The 12,990-nt window shown below is 35.7% G+C and overlaps 1 protein-coding gene across 8 annotated transcripts in view; it reads right to left on the bottom strand.

Annotated features, from left to right (window-relative positions):
* The window catches only part of CTNNA3 (catenin alpha 3), a 1,851,072-nt gene that overhangs the window by 601,870 nt on the left and 1,236,212 nt on the right, over nt 1-12,990 (bottom strand). For all 8 annotated transcript variants that reach the window (XM_047425124.1, NM_013266.4, XM_017016152.2 and 5 more), the window contains one exon: nt 6,225-6,381. In XM_047425124.1, the coding sequence (XP_047281080.1) occupies nt 6,225-6,381 (157 nt within the window). The remainder of the gene's footprint in view (nt 1-6,224; nt 6,382-12,990) is intronic.

Consider the following 12,990-nt stretch of genomic DNA (forward strand, 5'->3'; position numbering starts at 1 on the left):
TATTTAAGAAAAATTTAAAATATAGAATAAAACACATCTTCAACTATCCTTCAATACTACAGTTCACTAAAGGTCAATGTGATATTATAATCAGAACACTCCACAATAAGGGAATAACATTGCTAATTCTAATTTAGAAGTGGTCAATCTCTTTTTCAGAAAATCCAAAAACCATTGTCAATCGCTTCCACCAATCCTCATTTGATCTCCACCACCACAGTTCTTTTGCAAGTAATCTCTTCCACTACCTTTTACTCATTGTTCAATTTCCAGTACCTTTCATGGGATTTAGCACTCATAATTATGGAATATTAAATAAATAAACGAAGGAATAAATAAAAGAAAGGTTGTATTTTTACAAACCCTTATATTTAATCAGTTCTTAGTAATTGTTGAATAGTTCTTATGGTCCAAATCATTCATCCCTTCTATCAAAGTTTGTAGCTCATGATGAGTCAGTTTATGCAAACTGACCTCTGAAAATATATGTTTAACTATCATGAGACATTTGTTGATGGTATGAATAATTTTTAAATGATCATTGAAAAACTTTCAGTTTTAAATATATAACTGCAATGGATAAACAGAAGACATTTGTCATTAGAGATACCCTTATTTCAAGAATCTTTAGTCAATATTGGACCATTGAATCATACTAAAACATAATTATAAGCAAATATTTTACCACATGTGATCTTCCTCTGTGGTAATAACAAAAAAATAGTTTAAAGTCTAAGAGTCCTTTACCATTGATTTTAAATTTTTATTTGTATTTACATTTTAATGTAGAGAGAGCTGATATTCTGAGAATTCACACGTTTTCACAAATGATTCAGAAGAAAATGGAAATCTGTTTTGGACCCTTATTCCCTATATCTATCTATCTATCTATCTATCTATCTATCTATCTATATGGAAAATAGTCTCTCCCTCTCTGTCTCTCTCTCTCTCTCTATATATATATATAGTATTAGTATTGACTCCTGAAAGAAAGCCCATGAGAGGTTAAATGCTTATAAAAAATTTGAAAGTAAAATTTTCCCTAAGTAATTCACAACACAGATACGCTAAGAACTAACTTGTCAATTGATCTACCTGACAAAAGAGGAACCAGAAGTCTCTGAATACAAAACAACATATCACTCTAAAAGATCATTGTATTAGTCCATTCTCATGCTGCTCTAAAGAACTTCCCAAGACTGGGTCATTTATAAAGAAAAGAGGTTTAATTGACTCACAGTTCCACATGGCTAGGGAGGCCTCAGGAAACTTACAATCATGGTGGAAGGGGAAGCAAACACATCCTTTTTCACATCATGGCAGGAAGGAGAATGAGAGCCCAGTGAAGGAAGAAGCCTTTATAAAACCATCAGATCTCGTGAGAATTAACCTCACTATCACAAGAACAGGATGGGGGAAACCACCCCTGTGATTCAATTATCTCTACGGGGTCCCTCCCACAACAACATGTGGGAATTATGGGAACTATAATTCAAGATGAGATTTTGGTGGGGACATAGCCAAGCCATATCAATCATTCTTCACAAGTACCAGATAAGTTATTTGCTATTAAACACATCTGTAACTTTTCTAAGAAAATCTGTCCCCTACAGAAGATGCAAGATTGTGCCAATTCTCATCACAGCTATTCAAACTATGATTAATTATCTGGAAAAAAAAAAAAAAAAGGTAACCCATCTATTCATTGGTTTTATTTTGGACCTACAGCATCTAGGCTGGTACAAAAAAGATCTAGAGGGCCAGCTAGATTCTTTCTCTTTTGTTTGACTGGGAAAATTCTGAGAGAAGATGCCATAATCTGTGGGAGCAGATGTTGAAAAATTATGATGTTACAAAAAGATCACTGGTAAAGAATCATGGCTAAACTAATATAAGATAAGCTTATGAAGGCACAGAAACTTGAGAGAGCAGTGGAAACCACTCAGTATTTTAGGCAAACATGTCTGCTTGACTGTTTAATGGCCATTTCTCTTTTTTTACTAACAAATCTCTGATTTTGTTTGTGTAGTAAGTGACTAGTAATAAAGGTTAAATTGTGGCTGGTCTAAGCCTAGTGTTCAATTAGAACCTGTTTATTCCAGCTCACAAGAGCCGATTCTATGCATTTCGTACCAACTCAGAGTTCAGTGACATCACATTGGTAGCTTAAAACCTGCAAAGGTGGGGGTATTTATGCCACAGAAATAAACAAATGCTACAAATTAGGACTACCACTCCCTCTGGCTTCTAGTCAGTTGTTAATCACTTATCAGCACCCTCTAAACTCATCTTGGAAATCTAATTTTCTTTTGCCGGTAATTGGCTCAAGATTGAGAGAGGAACCAAGTTTTGACCTATGACAAGTAAGAGAAACTGATGAAAATCATCTGGGAAAGACTTTCTTCTCTAAAGTTAAAGCTGCAAGCCAGCTTCTTTTTCCGTTTTAAATTGTGTTGTGTAATGTTTGGAGATGCAATGCTTTAAGATGCAACCAAGAGGGAACATGAACAGAATTCAGAGATGCTTACACATTAATAACCTTGAACTGGGCCGGGCAAGGTGGCTCACACCTATAATCCCAGCACTTTGAGAGGTCAAGGCGGGTGGATCACAAGGTCAGGAGTTCGAGACCAGTCTGGCCAATACAGTGAAACTCCATCTCTACTAAAAATCAAAAAAATTAGCCAGGTGTGGTGGCACATGCCTGTAATCCCAGCTACTTGGGAGGCTGAGGCAGGAGAATTGCTTGAATCCGGGAGGTGGAGTTGCAGTGAGCCAAGATTGCGCCACTGCACTCAAGCCTGGGTGACACAGAGAGACTCTGTCTCAAAATAAATAAATAAATAAATAAAATAACCTTGAACTGTCAGAGGCATGTGAATCAGAACAACTCCATCTTGAATAGGAGCTTGGTAAAATGATTTTGAAACCTACTGGGCTGCATTCCTAGACAGTTAATGCATTCTAAGTCACAGGATGAGATAGGAGGTCGGCACAAGATATAGGTCATAAAGACCTTGCTGATAAAATAGGTTTGCAGTAAAGAAGCCGGCTAAATCCTACCAAAACCAAGATGGCCACAAGAGTGACCTCTGCTCATCCTCACTACTACACTGCCATCAGCCCCATGACAATTTACAAATGCCATGGCAACATCAGGAAGTTACCCTATATGGTCTAAAAGGGGGAGGCATGAATAATCCACCCCTTGTTTAGCATATCACCAAGAAATAACCATAAAAATGGGCAACCAGCAGTTCTCAGGGCTGCTCTGTTAATGAAGTACCCATTCTTTCATTTCTTTACTTTCTCAATAAACTTGCTTTCACTTTGCATTGCAGACTTACCCCCAATTTTTTCTTGCACAAGATCCAAGAACCCTCTCTTGGGGTCTAGAATGGGACCCCTTTCCTGTAACAGAAATATTACCAACCAGGGCAACCAAAATGCAGAAAATCATGAGCAGTCCACCATGGGCATAGAAAATAATGTGCGTTTTCTGTACAGAATTTAAAAATAATAATTAAACATATTAACCATCAGTCTACTTTTTATTATCCTCCTGTACGGACAATTCTAAATAATGTTAGCCATGAAAATATCCCTCTCCACATAGCTTAACTGCTCCTACCCAAGTCCTCCGTTTGCTAGGGCTAGTAACCCTAAAGCCAAGTATATCAAACATCTAGGTATATGAGATAAGGAAGGGTTTTTGTTATTTAAGTAACCTTTACATGAGTTTTCTGTTTCTTGTTTATGTTTTGAACTGCTTAAGTTGTCCATGAAAAGAAGCAGATCCAGAATATCGGTATATCAGGTTAATCTAGCACTAAAGGGAAAAACTATTAATTCCTGCTTTAAGGACCTACAATATCCCTGGATCCCAGGCCTCCCCCAGCTCTAATCATGCAAAGATTGGTAAATTATGGTTCCCCTTGTTGCATGTCCAGAGTATTCTCCCTATGTGCTGTCAGTATTACTATGCTAAACTACCTCTACATTGATGAATGTAAGTAGGTTCCTTTGCCTTTTAACCAAAAGAACCGAGAAACAGAACCTACTATTCAACAGTCAAATTACAAAAGGCTTTTCCAATATAAGGTGTTGACTGAATTTACTTTGTGAAGTCTATATGAAGGAGATAGCAAATAGACAAAAATATGCTTAATGTTGTTCATAATAATTAAAATTACTGTTTAAATGTTACCAAAAGAGCACATAAATGAATAAGTTCTTGAATAATATACAATCATGCAGAAATATGCAGCCAAATATGTGTAAAAAGGCAAGTAACATAAATATGCATATATACATGCATGATACACATTTGAAAATATAAATATATATTAGAAAAATGGTGAAAGGAAAAAAAATCAGTTAGCAGTGATTATTATTCCTGAGTAGTGGAATCAAAGGCCATTAATTTTTTTTCCCATACATTTTCTATATTTCCAAAGATTTTGATTCTATAAAAATAAAGTAGTTTAAAAATATGTAATTAGCATACATTTCATTTTCACTAATGTATCATGAAAATATAGTTGGTTTCTGGAATAATTTTTCATTATGAGAATGTATACATACATGAAAGTAATGAAGTCAATAGGTTAGACTGGAACAAATCAGGTAACTTTAAAAAATGAAGTTGGATATTCATGAGAATTTGCATTTTATAAGAAAGAATATTATCACATTCCAAGAAAATCCTTCTCTTACAAAAAAGGAAAAATGTATATATAATTTATTTTAGACAGAGGATTACTTTTTGAGAGAATAAAAAAGACGAAAATGTGTTCACTTCTTTGTTCTTACAACACAAACAAAACTTGAATTATGCTTCTGAGGATATTGATTTATGAGTATCTTCACAATCCTGTGGGATATTATTCTAATTTGTGATGAGATAATAATCTGGGCTTCACATGGAATCTCAACCTTGTCTGTTGTAGTTAGATATTTAGACTTGTTTGTTTAATTCTTTAGATTAGCACTGTCAAATACATATAATGGTTGTTGAATTATCATATTGCATCTGTGAAAGGAAAATAAATCTTGGAGCCCCAAAATTACTAAGCCAAAGGGAAAAGTCAAGCTGGGAACTGCTTAGGACAAACCTGCCTCCCATTCTATTCAAAGTCATCTCTCTGCTCAGTGAGATAAATGCATATCTGATTGCCTCCTTTGGAAAAGCTAATCAGAAACTCAAAAGATTGCAACCATTTGTCTCTTATCTACCTATGACCTGGAAGCCCCCTTCCCATTTCTACTTGTCCCACTTTTGCTTCAATTTGTTCCACATTTCTAGACTGAACCTTTGTTCATCTTACATATGTTGATTGATGTCTCATGTCTCCCTAAAATGTATAAAACTAAGCTGTGCTCTGATCACCTTGGGCACATGTCATCAGGAACTTCTGAGGCTGAGTCATGGGTGCGTGTCCTGAACTTTGGCAAAATAAACTTCCCAAATTGACTGAGATCTGTCTCAGATTTTGTGGTTCACACATTTCAAATCGATGATGTTTTCTCACTAATATGTTTTTTTCCATGAGGGGAGAAAAATTTGGTTGGAAAAGAAGCGCAGGGAAATCAGGATTTATTTGAAAATCTAGGAAAAACCTAAGATTCTAGGTATTATTTTCTAATATGTTTTGGCCATGAATAGGAGTTTCTTTTATAGACTCAGTGTAAATTGTTAAATTTAAAAAGATTACAAGAGGTCAGGCTCATAATCCCAGAGTAGACCATGGATGACACAACTGCTGCTAATACATAGCAACATATTGCATCCAAAAATACAATCAATTAAATGTTTACTGGATTAAATAAAATTAATCTTATTTAGTATTATTCTTTTTTTTTTTTTTTTTTTTTTTTGAGATAGAGTCTAGCTCTGTTGCCCAGGCTGGAGTGTAGTGACATGATCTCAGCTCACTGCAACCTCTGCCTCCTGGGTTCAAGCAATTCTCCTGCCTCAGCCTCCTGAGTAGCTGGGATTACAGACGTGAGCCATGACACCCAGCTAATTTTTGTATTTTTAGTAGAGCGGGGGTTTCATCATGTTGGCCAGGCTGGTATCGAATCCCTGACCTCAAGTAATCCACCTGCCTCGGCTTCCCAAAGTGTTGGCATTACAGGCATGAGCCACCATGCCTGTCCCAGTATTATTCTATTTTATAAAATTGACAAGAGAAAATAAACAAATTAAAAGAATAAAAACATACCAGATACAGCAAGGAAGTCATCAATGCTTGTAATGTCATCTACGGCTTCAGTGAGGACATGTATATGATTCTCCCATGTACGCTTGTACATTTCCATGGTGTTTTTGACCGCTTGACTTTTGGGTCTTGCAGCCAAAGCAAGTGCAGCATTAATAATCTATAAAGATAAGGATTGAAAAAATTACCTATTGGTTGCAATGTTCACTATTTGGGTGATGGGCACACTAAAAGCCCACACTTCACCACTATGCAATATATTCATGTAAGAAATCTGCACTTATAATTCCTAAATATATAAAATAAATAAAAAATATTAAAACAATAAAATAAAATTAATTAAATTATACTCATTCATGTTAAACATAAAAAATGGAATTTAAAAAAATCTGTAAAGATGTAGAACATTTACTCAGTGATTTATTTCAATACATTAAGTGTATTAAAATTAGATTATTTAAATTAAATTATGGTTAAATACATTCATCATCGACAATAGGAAAAACAGTAAAATGTCTCCATATATACAGTTTATATTGAAAAGTACAAAACGTTTTATATTTATTAGTATAAATTATATAGGTATAAATAATAATTTTTATTTTTAAAATTTTCCTACTCCCTCTATTATTGCAGAGTGAGTTTTTTAAATATAAACTTTGTTACCATAAGCTCCATCAAGTTCAAGACACTTTTCTAAGTGATGATATCAGGCATTTAATCAATCCTTAACTGATGATTCTGGTAATTTAAACATGCCAATCCAGTCTTTTTTACATTATTAACTGGTGAGAAATGGATGCCTTTAACAGATTTTTTTTTCAAATTAGTAAACAAAAAGAAATCAGAAAGAACCAAATTAGGACTGTAAGTTGAATGCCCAGTGATTTCCCATGGATATTCCTGAAACATTGCCCTTGTTTCAGGAGAGAAATGAGCAGAAGCACTGTAATGGTGAAGAAGGACATTCTGTTGACACATTCTTGGGCATATTTCTGTTAAAGTTTTGGTTAATTTTGTCAAACCACTCTCAAAGTAAGCAGATGTTATCATTCTTTGGCCCTCCAGGAAGTCATTAAGTAAAATGCCTTTAGCATATCAAAAAACTGTTGCCATAACCCTTGTTCTTGACTGGTCTGTTTTTGCTTTGACTGGATCACTTCCAACTCTCAGTAGCCATTGCTTTGATTGTGATGTCTTCAGAATTGTACTTGTAAAGCCGTGTTTCATCTCCTGTTACAATTCTTCAAAGAAGCAATTCAGGATCTTGGTCCCACTTATTTAAAAATTCCATCGAAAGCTCTGCTGTTGTCTGCAGCTGATCTGGGCAAAATGGTTTGGATACTCATTGAGTGGAATGTTTTTTCAACTTTAATTTTTTAGTCAGAATTGTGTAAACTGAACCAATTAAGATGTCTATGGTGTTGGCTATTGCTTGTGCTATTAATCATTGGTTTCCTTCAATTAGAGCATGAATAATATAATATTTTTTTAATCACAAATGGATGTGGATGGGCTGCTTCTGTGAGCTTCATCTTCAACATCATCTCATCTCTTGTTAAAATAAGTTATCAGTTTGTAAACTGAAGATTTATTTGGGGCATTGTCTCTATGAATATTTTTTAAAGCATCAGTGATTTCATCATTCTTCCACTCAAACTTTGCCATAAATATGATGTTTGTTCTTCAATTTTAGCAGAGTTTATGTTGCCTTTCATAGGGGTTTGATATAGTTTGGCTGTATTTCCACTCAAATCTCATCTTGAATTGTAGTTCTCATAATTCCCATATGTCATGGGAGGGACCTGGTGGGAGGTACTTAAATCATGAGGACGGTTACCTCCATGCTGTTCTTATGATAGTTGAGTTCTCACGAGATCTGATAGTTTCATAAGGGGATTTTCCCCTTTTGCTCAGCACTTCTCTTTCCTGCCGCTACGTAAAGAAGGACATGTTTGCATCCCCTTCTGCCATGGTTGTGAGTTTTCTGAGGCATCCCCAGCCCTGTGGAGCTGTGGGTCAATTAAACCTCTTTCCTTTATGGATTACCCAGTCTCAGTTCTGTCTTTATTAGCAGCATTAGAACAGACTAATATAGGGCTCTTTTCAAACTGATGTCTCTGATTTTTAACCCGTCAAACTAGATCCTGTCCACGCACGTTATCACAAGTTAGCACAAGTTTATTTTTGTGCAAAAATGTTGAATTCTATGCATAATTTTTTCATAAAACACATTTTCAGTAAAGGTTTTGAAGACCTCTCATACAATGACAACAATAAAAAGAAGCTTTTTCTACTGAATATCCTAAAGACTGTACCTTAAGTCACTTCCTGTCACCACATTATTGGAGGTAGAAGACGGAAAAAATTAGTTGCCTGAGAATAATATATTTAAATCCTCTTTTTTTGTTTCTTTTCTACAAAAGAGGAACATATTAAATTTTAAGGAAACACACTAACTTTAGAAATAACTACTGTGCAGTATGCCTTGACTTCAGTTTTAGAGTTTTATTAACCTATTAACTTACAATGTACCTTCGTGTATACTGCAGTGGCTCTGGTCCCTGGTGTTTCATTGTTCTTGCAATTGGACAGCTACGTACACATGTGGTTGTACTGAAATTATGCCTTCACAGCAAAGTATACTTTTAAAGTACTGGTGTAAAACCCTCAGTGGAGATATGAAGTTATGAATATAAGACAGGCTACATTTTATAAGAATATTTTCAGTTCTGCTGCTGATCCAATTTATCTGATTCAACACTGCACACTATGAAGAAGCTTTATCCTACTTGACTCTTGTGATATTTAGCTTAAATCTAAAAGAAGACACAATTCAGAAGAATTCTTCTAACCCTCTTTAGGGCAGAAAAATGTTCATCCCAATGTCACACTCCTAGAATTTTAGCCATATATCTAGAGAAAATAAAATAACCATTCTTAAATCTTCTTCACGTAAAACTAAAGCTTTTTTTTAAAATGAATTATGTTGCTTTCTGAGGCATTTTGTTTCTTTAAATTATGGTTGAAATATTTACATGTCGGTCACTTGACCCTGATAATTATCTAGTCTGTCAGTTTACCTTTGAAACAGTCTCTTTTGAGTTCGGGCCTTATTATATCTTAACTGGGCCATTCTAGTAGCCTTGTAGGTTTCTACTTCCAGTCTCTATTTGCTCTTAGACATTCTCCTTAATGCAAACACATTTCTTTCTCAAATGCCGAAGTGATCATGCCCCCCACTTGCTGATAACCTTTGATAAAATCCTAGTTGACTAAAAACAAACACCATATTTCTTTTCAGTAATTCATAGTCTAAAACCGTCCCCAGGTTGGTCCTTACCTACAGTTCATTCTGCTGTAATAATCTTACTCATTTTAGTCTTTGTTCCAGCCACAGTTTTAAGCTCCATTTCCTTATCACACCACTCATCTTTGTACCTCTGTGACTGTTTTTAGAGCTGAATCTGCCTTAATGCCCTTGCTCCATCCCTTTTTCTGCTCTACTCCGTCTCAGGAAACATTTTTCATACTTAACATATCCATGGAAATATCACCACATACTGTGAAGCCTGTTTAAAAAATATTTTGTCCATATAAATAAATAGTAGTTATTCTATTGCATGATTGCTCGTACACATGTCTATTCCTGGGTAATGAGCTCCATTATAGGAGGGACTATGTATTATTCATCTTTGCTTCTTGGTATACTAAACATGTTAATTACCATAAATGCTATACTTACAAACTGTCCCTAAGAGAAACTATTCTGCTCGCAGCCCACACTGAGAGGACAGCCACAGGAGGGCAGGTTTGGTATTATTTTCTCCCACTTCAACACTATTTAGGTCATAGGCAGGTACCCAATTCAAGAAGAGTTAATCTGTTGGCTGGCTGGTGATGGTTATGAGGTTTGACATAAAAAGTTGTGTTGTGTTAATCAATCTTGAAAATTTGAACTAGAATTTATGGAGAAATCATTAGTTAGCAGTCAAGATCAAAGCTGAAAGTTTCTGTAAAGAGCAGCCATCTTATAAAATCAGAACCAGAGGGGGCCAATGGAACTGAGGCTACAAGGAAACTAGAGCCAAAGTGCAAGGAAGAAGAAACTGTAAATAGACTGAACCTATAATGTTTAAAAAGAAAAAAAAATAGGCCAGGTGCGGTGGCTCACGCCTGTAATCCCAGGACTTTGGGAGGCTAAGGCAGGCGGATCTCCTGAGGTCAGGAGTGCGAGACCAGACTGACCAATATGGAGAAACCTCCTCTCCACTGAAAATACAAAATTAGCTGGGCGTGGTGGTGCATGCCTGTAATCCCAGCTACTTGGGAGGCTGAGGCAGGAGAATTGCTTGAACCAGGGAAGCGGAGGTTGTGGTGAGCCGAGATCGCACCATTGTACTCCAGCCTGGGCAATAAGAGCAAAACTCCATTTCAAATAAAAAAAAGAAAAGAAAAGAAAGAAAGAAAGACAAAAATAAACAGGCAAAAGCAAAGTGTGGAGTAAAATAAGCCAGTGGGTGGCAAGAGGAGAATGGGGAAAATATATCAAGAGAGTCAATAACATCAACAGAGAGAAAATGATACTCAGATAAAAGAAAAAAAAAGAACTAGGAGTTGACTGTTTTTGAGAGTATCCTATTTTGGATTACAAGGCCACAGAAATGCTAATAACGATAATAATAAAATACTAACAAAGTCCATACTTTGCATCATGCACCACTGTTCCAAACACTTTCTACATATTCACCTAATTTTTTTAACCTAATTTTTACACCACAATGAGGTAGGTAGGTGTTGTCATCTCCATTTTCAGGTAAGGTTACCAAGTTATTAAGGAGAAGTTGTCAACTTGACCTAGACTTCATGCTCTTAATTGCCACACTGTACTCTCTTCTATAACAATATTATACTAATTTATGATGCTGTGAGTAAGTGATGATCCTTGAAACCATAAAGCCATCACTGAAGGAAACATTACAATGCCTGGTGTAAAGAAAAACAAAAGAGAGAGAGTGTGTGTGTGTGCATGTGAAAGAGAGAGAGAAAGAATATATATATAAAATTCGCTAAGTTAACCATTTATAAAACTCAGTGGCATTAAGTACATTCACATAGCTGTGCAACTATCCATCTCCAGAACTTTTTAGCACATCAAACTGAAATTCTGTACTCATTAAACAATAGCTTCCCATTCTTCCTTCCCCCTAGTACCTAGTAAGCTCTATTATACTTTCTACCTCTTTTGTTGACTATTCTAGATACTTCGTATAAGTGGAATTATACAACATTTGTTCTTTTGTGTCTGGCTTATTTCCCTTAACATAATATTTTCAAGGTTTATTCAAGTTGTAGTATGCATCAGAATTTCATTACTTTTCAAGATTAAATAATATTCTACAGTATGTACATACTATGTTTTGCTCACCCATTCATCTGTCAGTGGACATTGGGTTGTTTCCATATTTTGGCTGTTGTGAATAATGCTGTTATGACCATTGTTGTACAAATGCCTGCTCAAGTCTTGGCTTGCAATTATTTGGGGTATATGCCCAGAAATGGAATTGCTGGATTATATGACAATTTTTTTAAAAAGGGGTCTCACTCTGTCACCTATGCTGGAGTGTAGCGGCTCAATCTCAGCTCACAGCAACTTCCACCTCTCAGGCTCAAGCGATCCTCCCACCTCAGCCTCCCAAGTAGCTGGGACCACAAATGCGCACCACCACACCCAGATAATTTTTTGTATTTTTGATAGAGACAAGGTTTCGTCATGTTGCCCAGGCTGGTCTAGAACTCCTGAGCTCAGGTGATCTACTGGCCTCAGCCTCCCAAAGTGCTGGGATTCCAGGCGTGAGCCACTGTGCGAAGACTGACAATTCTAAATTTAATTTATGAAATGGCCACATTGTTTTCCACAGAAGTTGCACCATTTTGTATTCATATCTGCAATGCCCAAGAGTTCCTATTTTTTCATATCCTGGCCAAAACTTATTTTCTCTTTTGTTTTTTCTTTTAATCCCAACCATCCTAATGGGTGTGAAGTGGCATCTCATTGAGGTTATGTTTGCATTTCCCTAATGATTAATGATGCTGAACATCTTTTCATGTGCTTATTGACGAACTGTTTATCTTCTTTGGAGAAATGTCTATTCAAGTATTTTGCCCATTTTTAAATTGTTTTTTCTTGTTGACTTTTAGGAGTCCTTTACATATTCTGGTTATTAATCTCTGATCATATATATGATTTGTAAATATTTTCTCCCACTCTTTGGGTTGCCTCTTCCCTCTCTTGCTAATGTCCTCTGATATACAGAAGTTTTAAATTTTGATGAAGTCCAATTTTTTTTTCCATTTTTTGTGCTTTTGGTGTCATATGCACATTGCCAAATCTGATGTCACGAAGTGTCACTCTATGTTTTCTTCTAAGAGTTCTATATTTTTAGTCACTATGTTTAAGTCTTTGATTCATTTTGAGTTAAGTTTTGTATATGGCACAAGGTGGGGCAAACTTCATTCGTTGCCATGTACTTGTTTTCCCAGCACCAATTGTTGAAAAGACTATCCTTTACCCATAGAATTATCTGGGCAGCCTTGTCAAAAATCATTTGACTGTAAATGCAAGGGTTTATTTCTGGGATATCTTTTCTATGCCATTTATCTATATGTCTGTATCACACTGATTTGATTATTGCAGTTTGTAATGAATTTTGAAATTAGAAAGTGTGAGGCCTCCAAATTTGTTCTTATTTTTCAAGATTATTTTGGC

Source organism: Homo sapiens, chromosome 10 (genome assembly GCF_000001405.40).
Source record: "Homo sapiens chromosome 10, GRCh38.p14 Primary Assembly".
NCBI classification, from domain to species: Eukaryota; Metazoa; Chordata; class Mammalia; order Primates; family Hominidae; genus Homo; species Homo sapiens.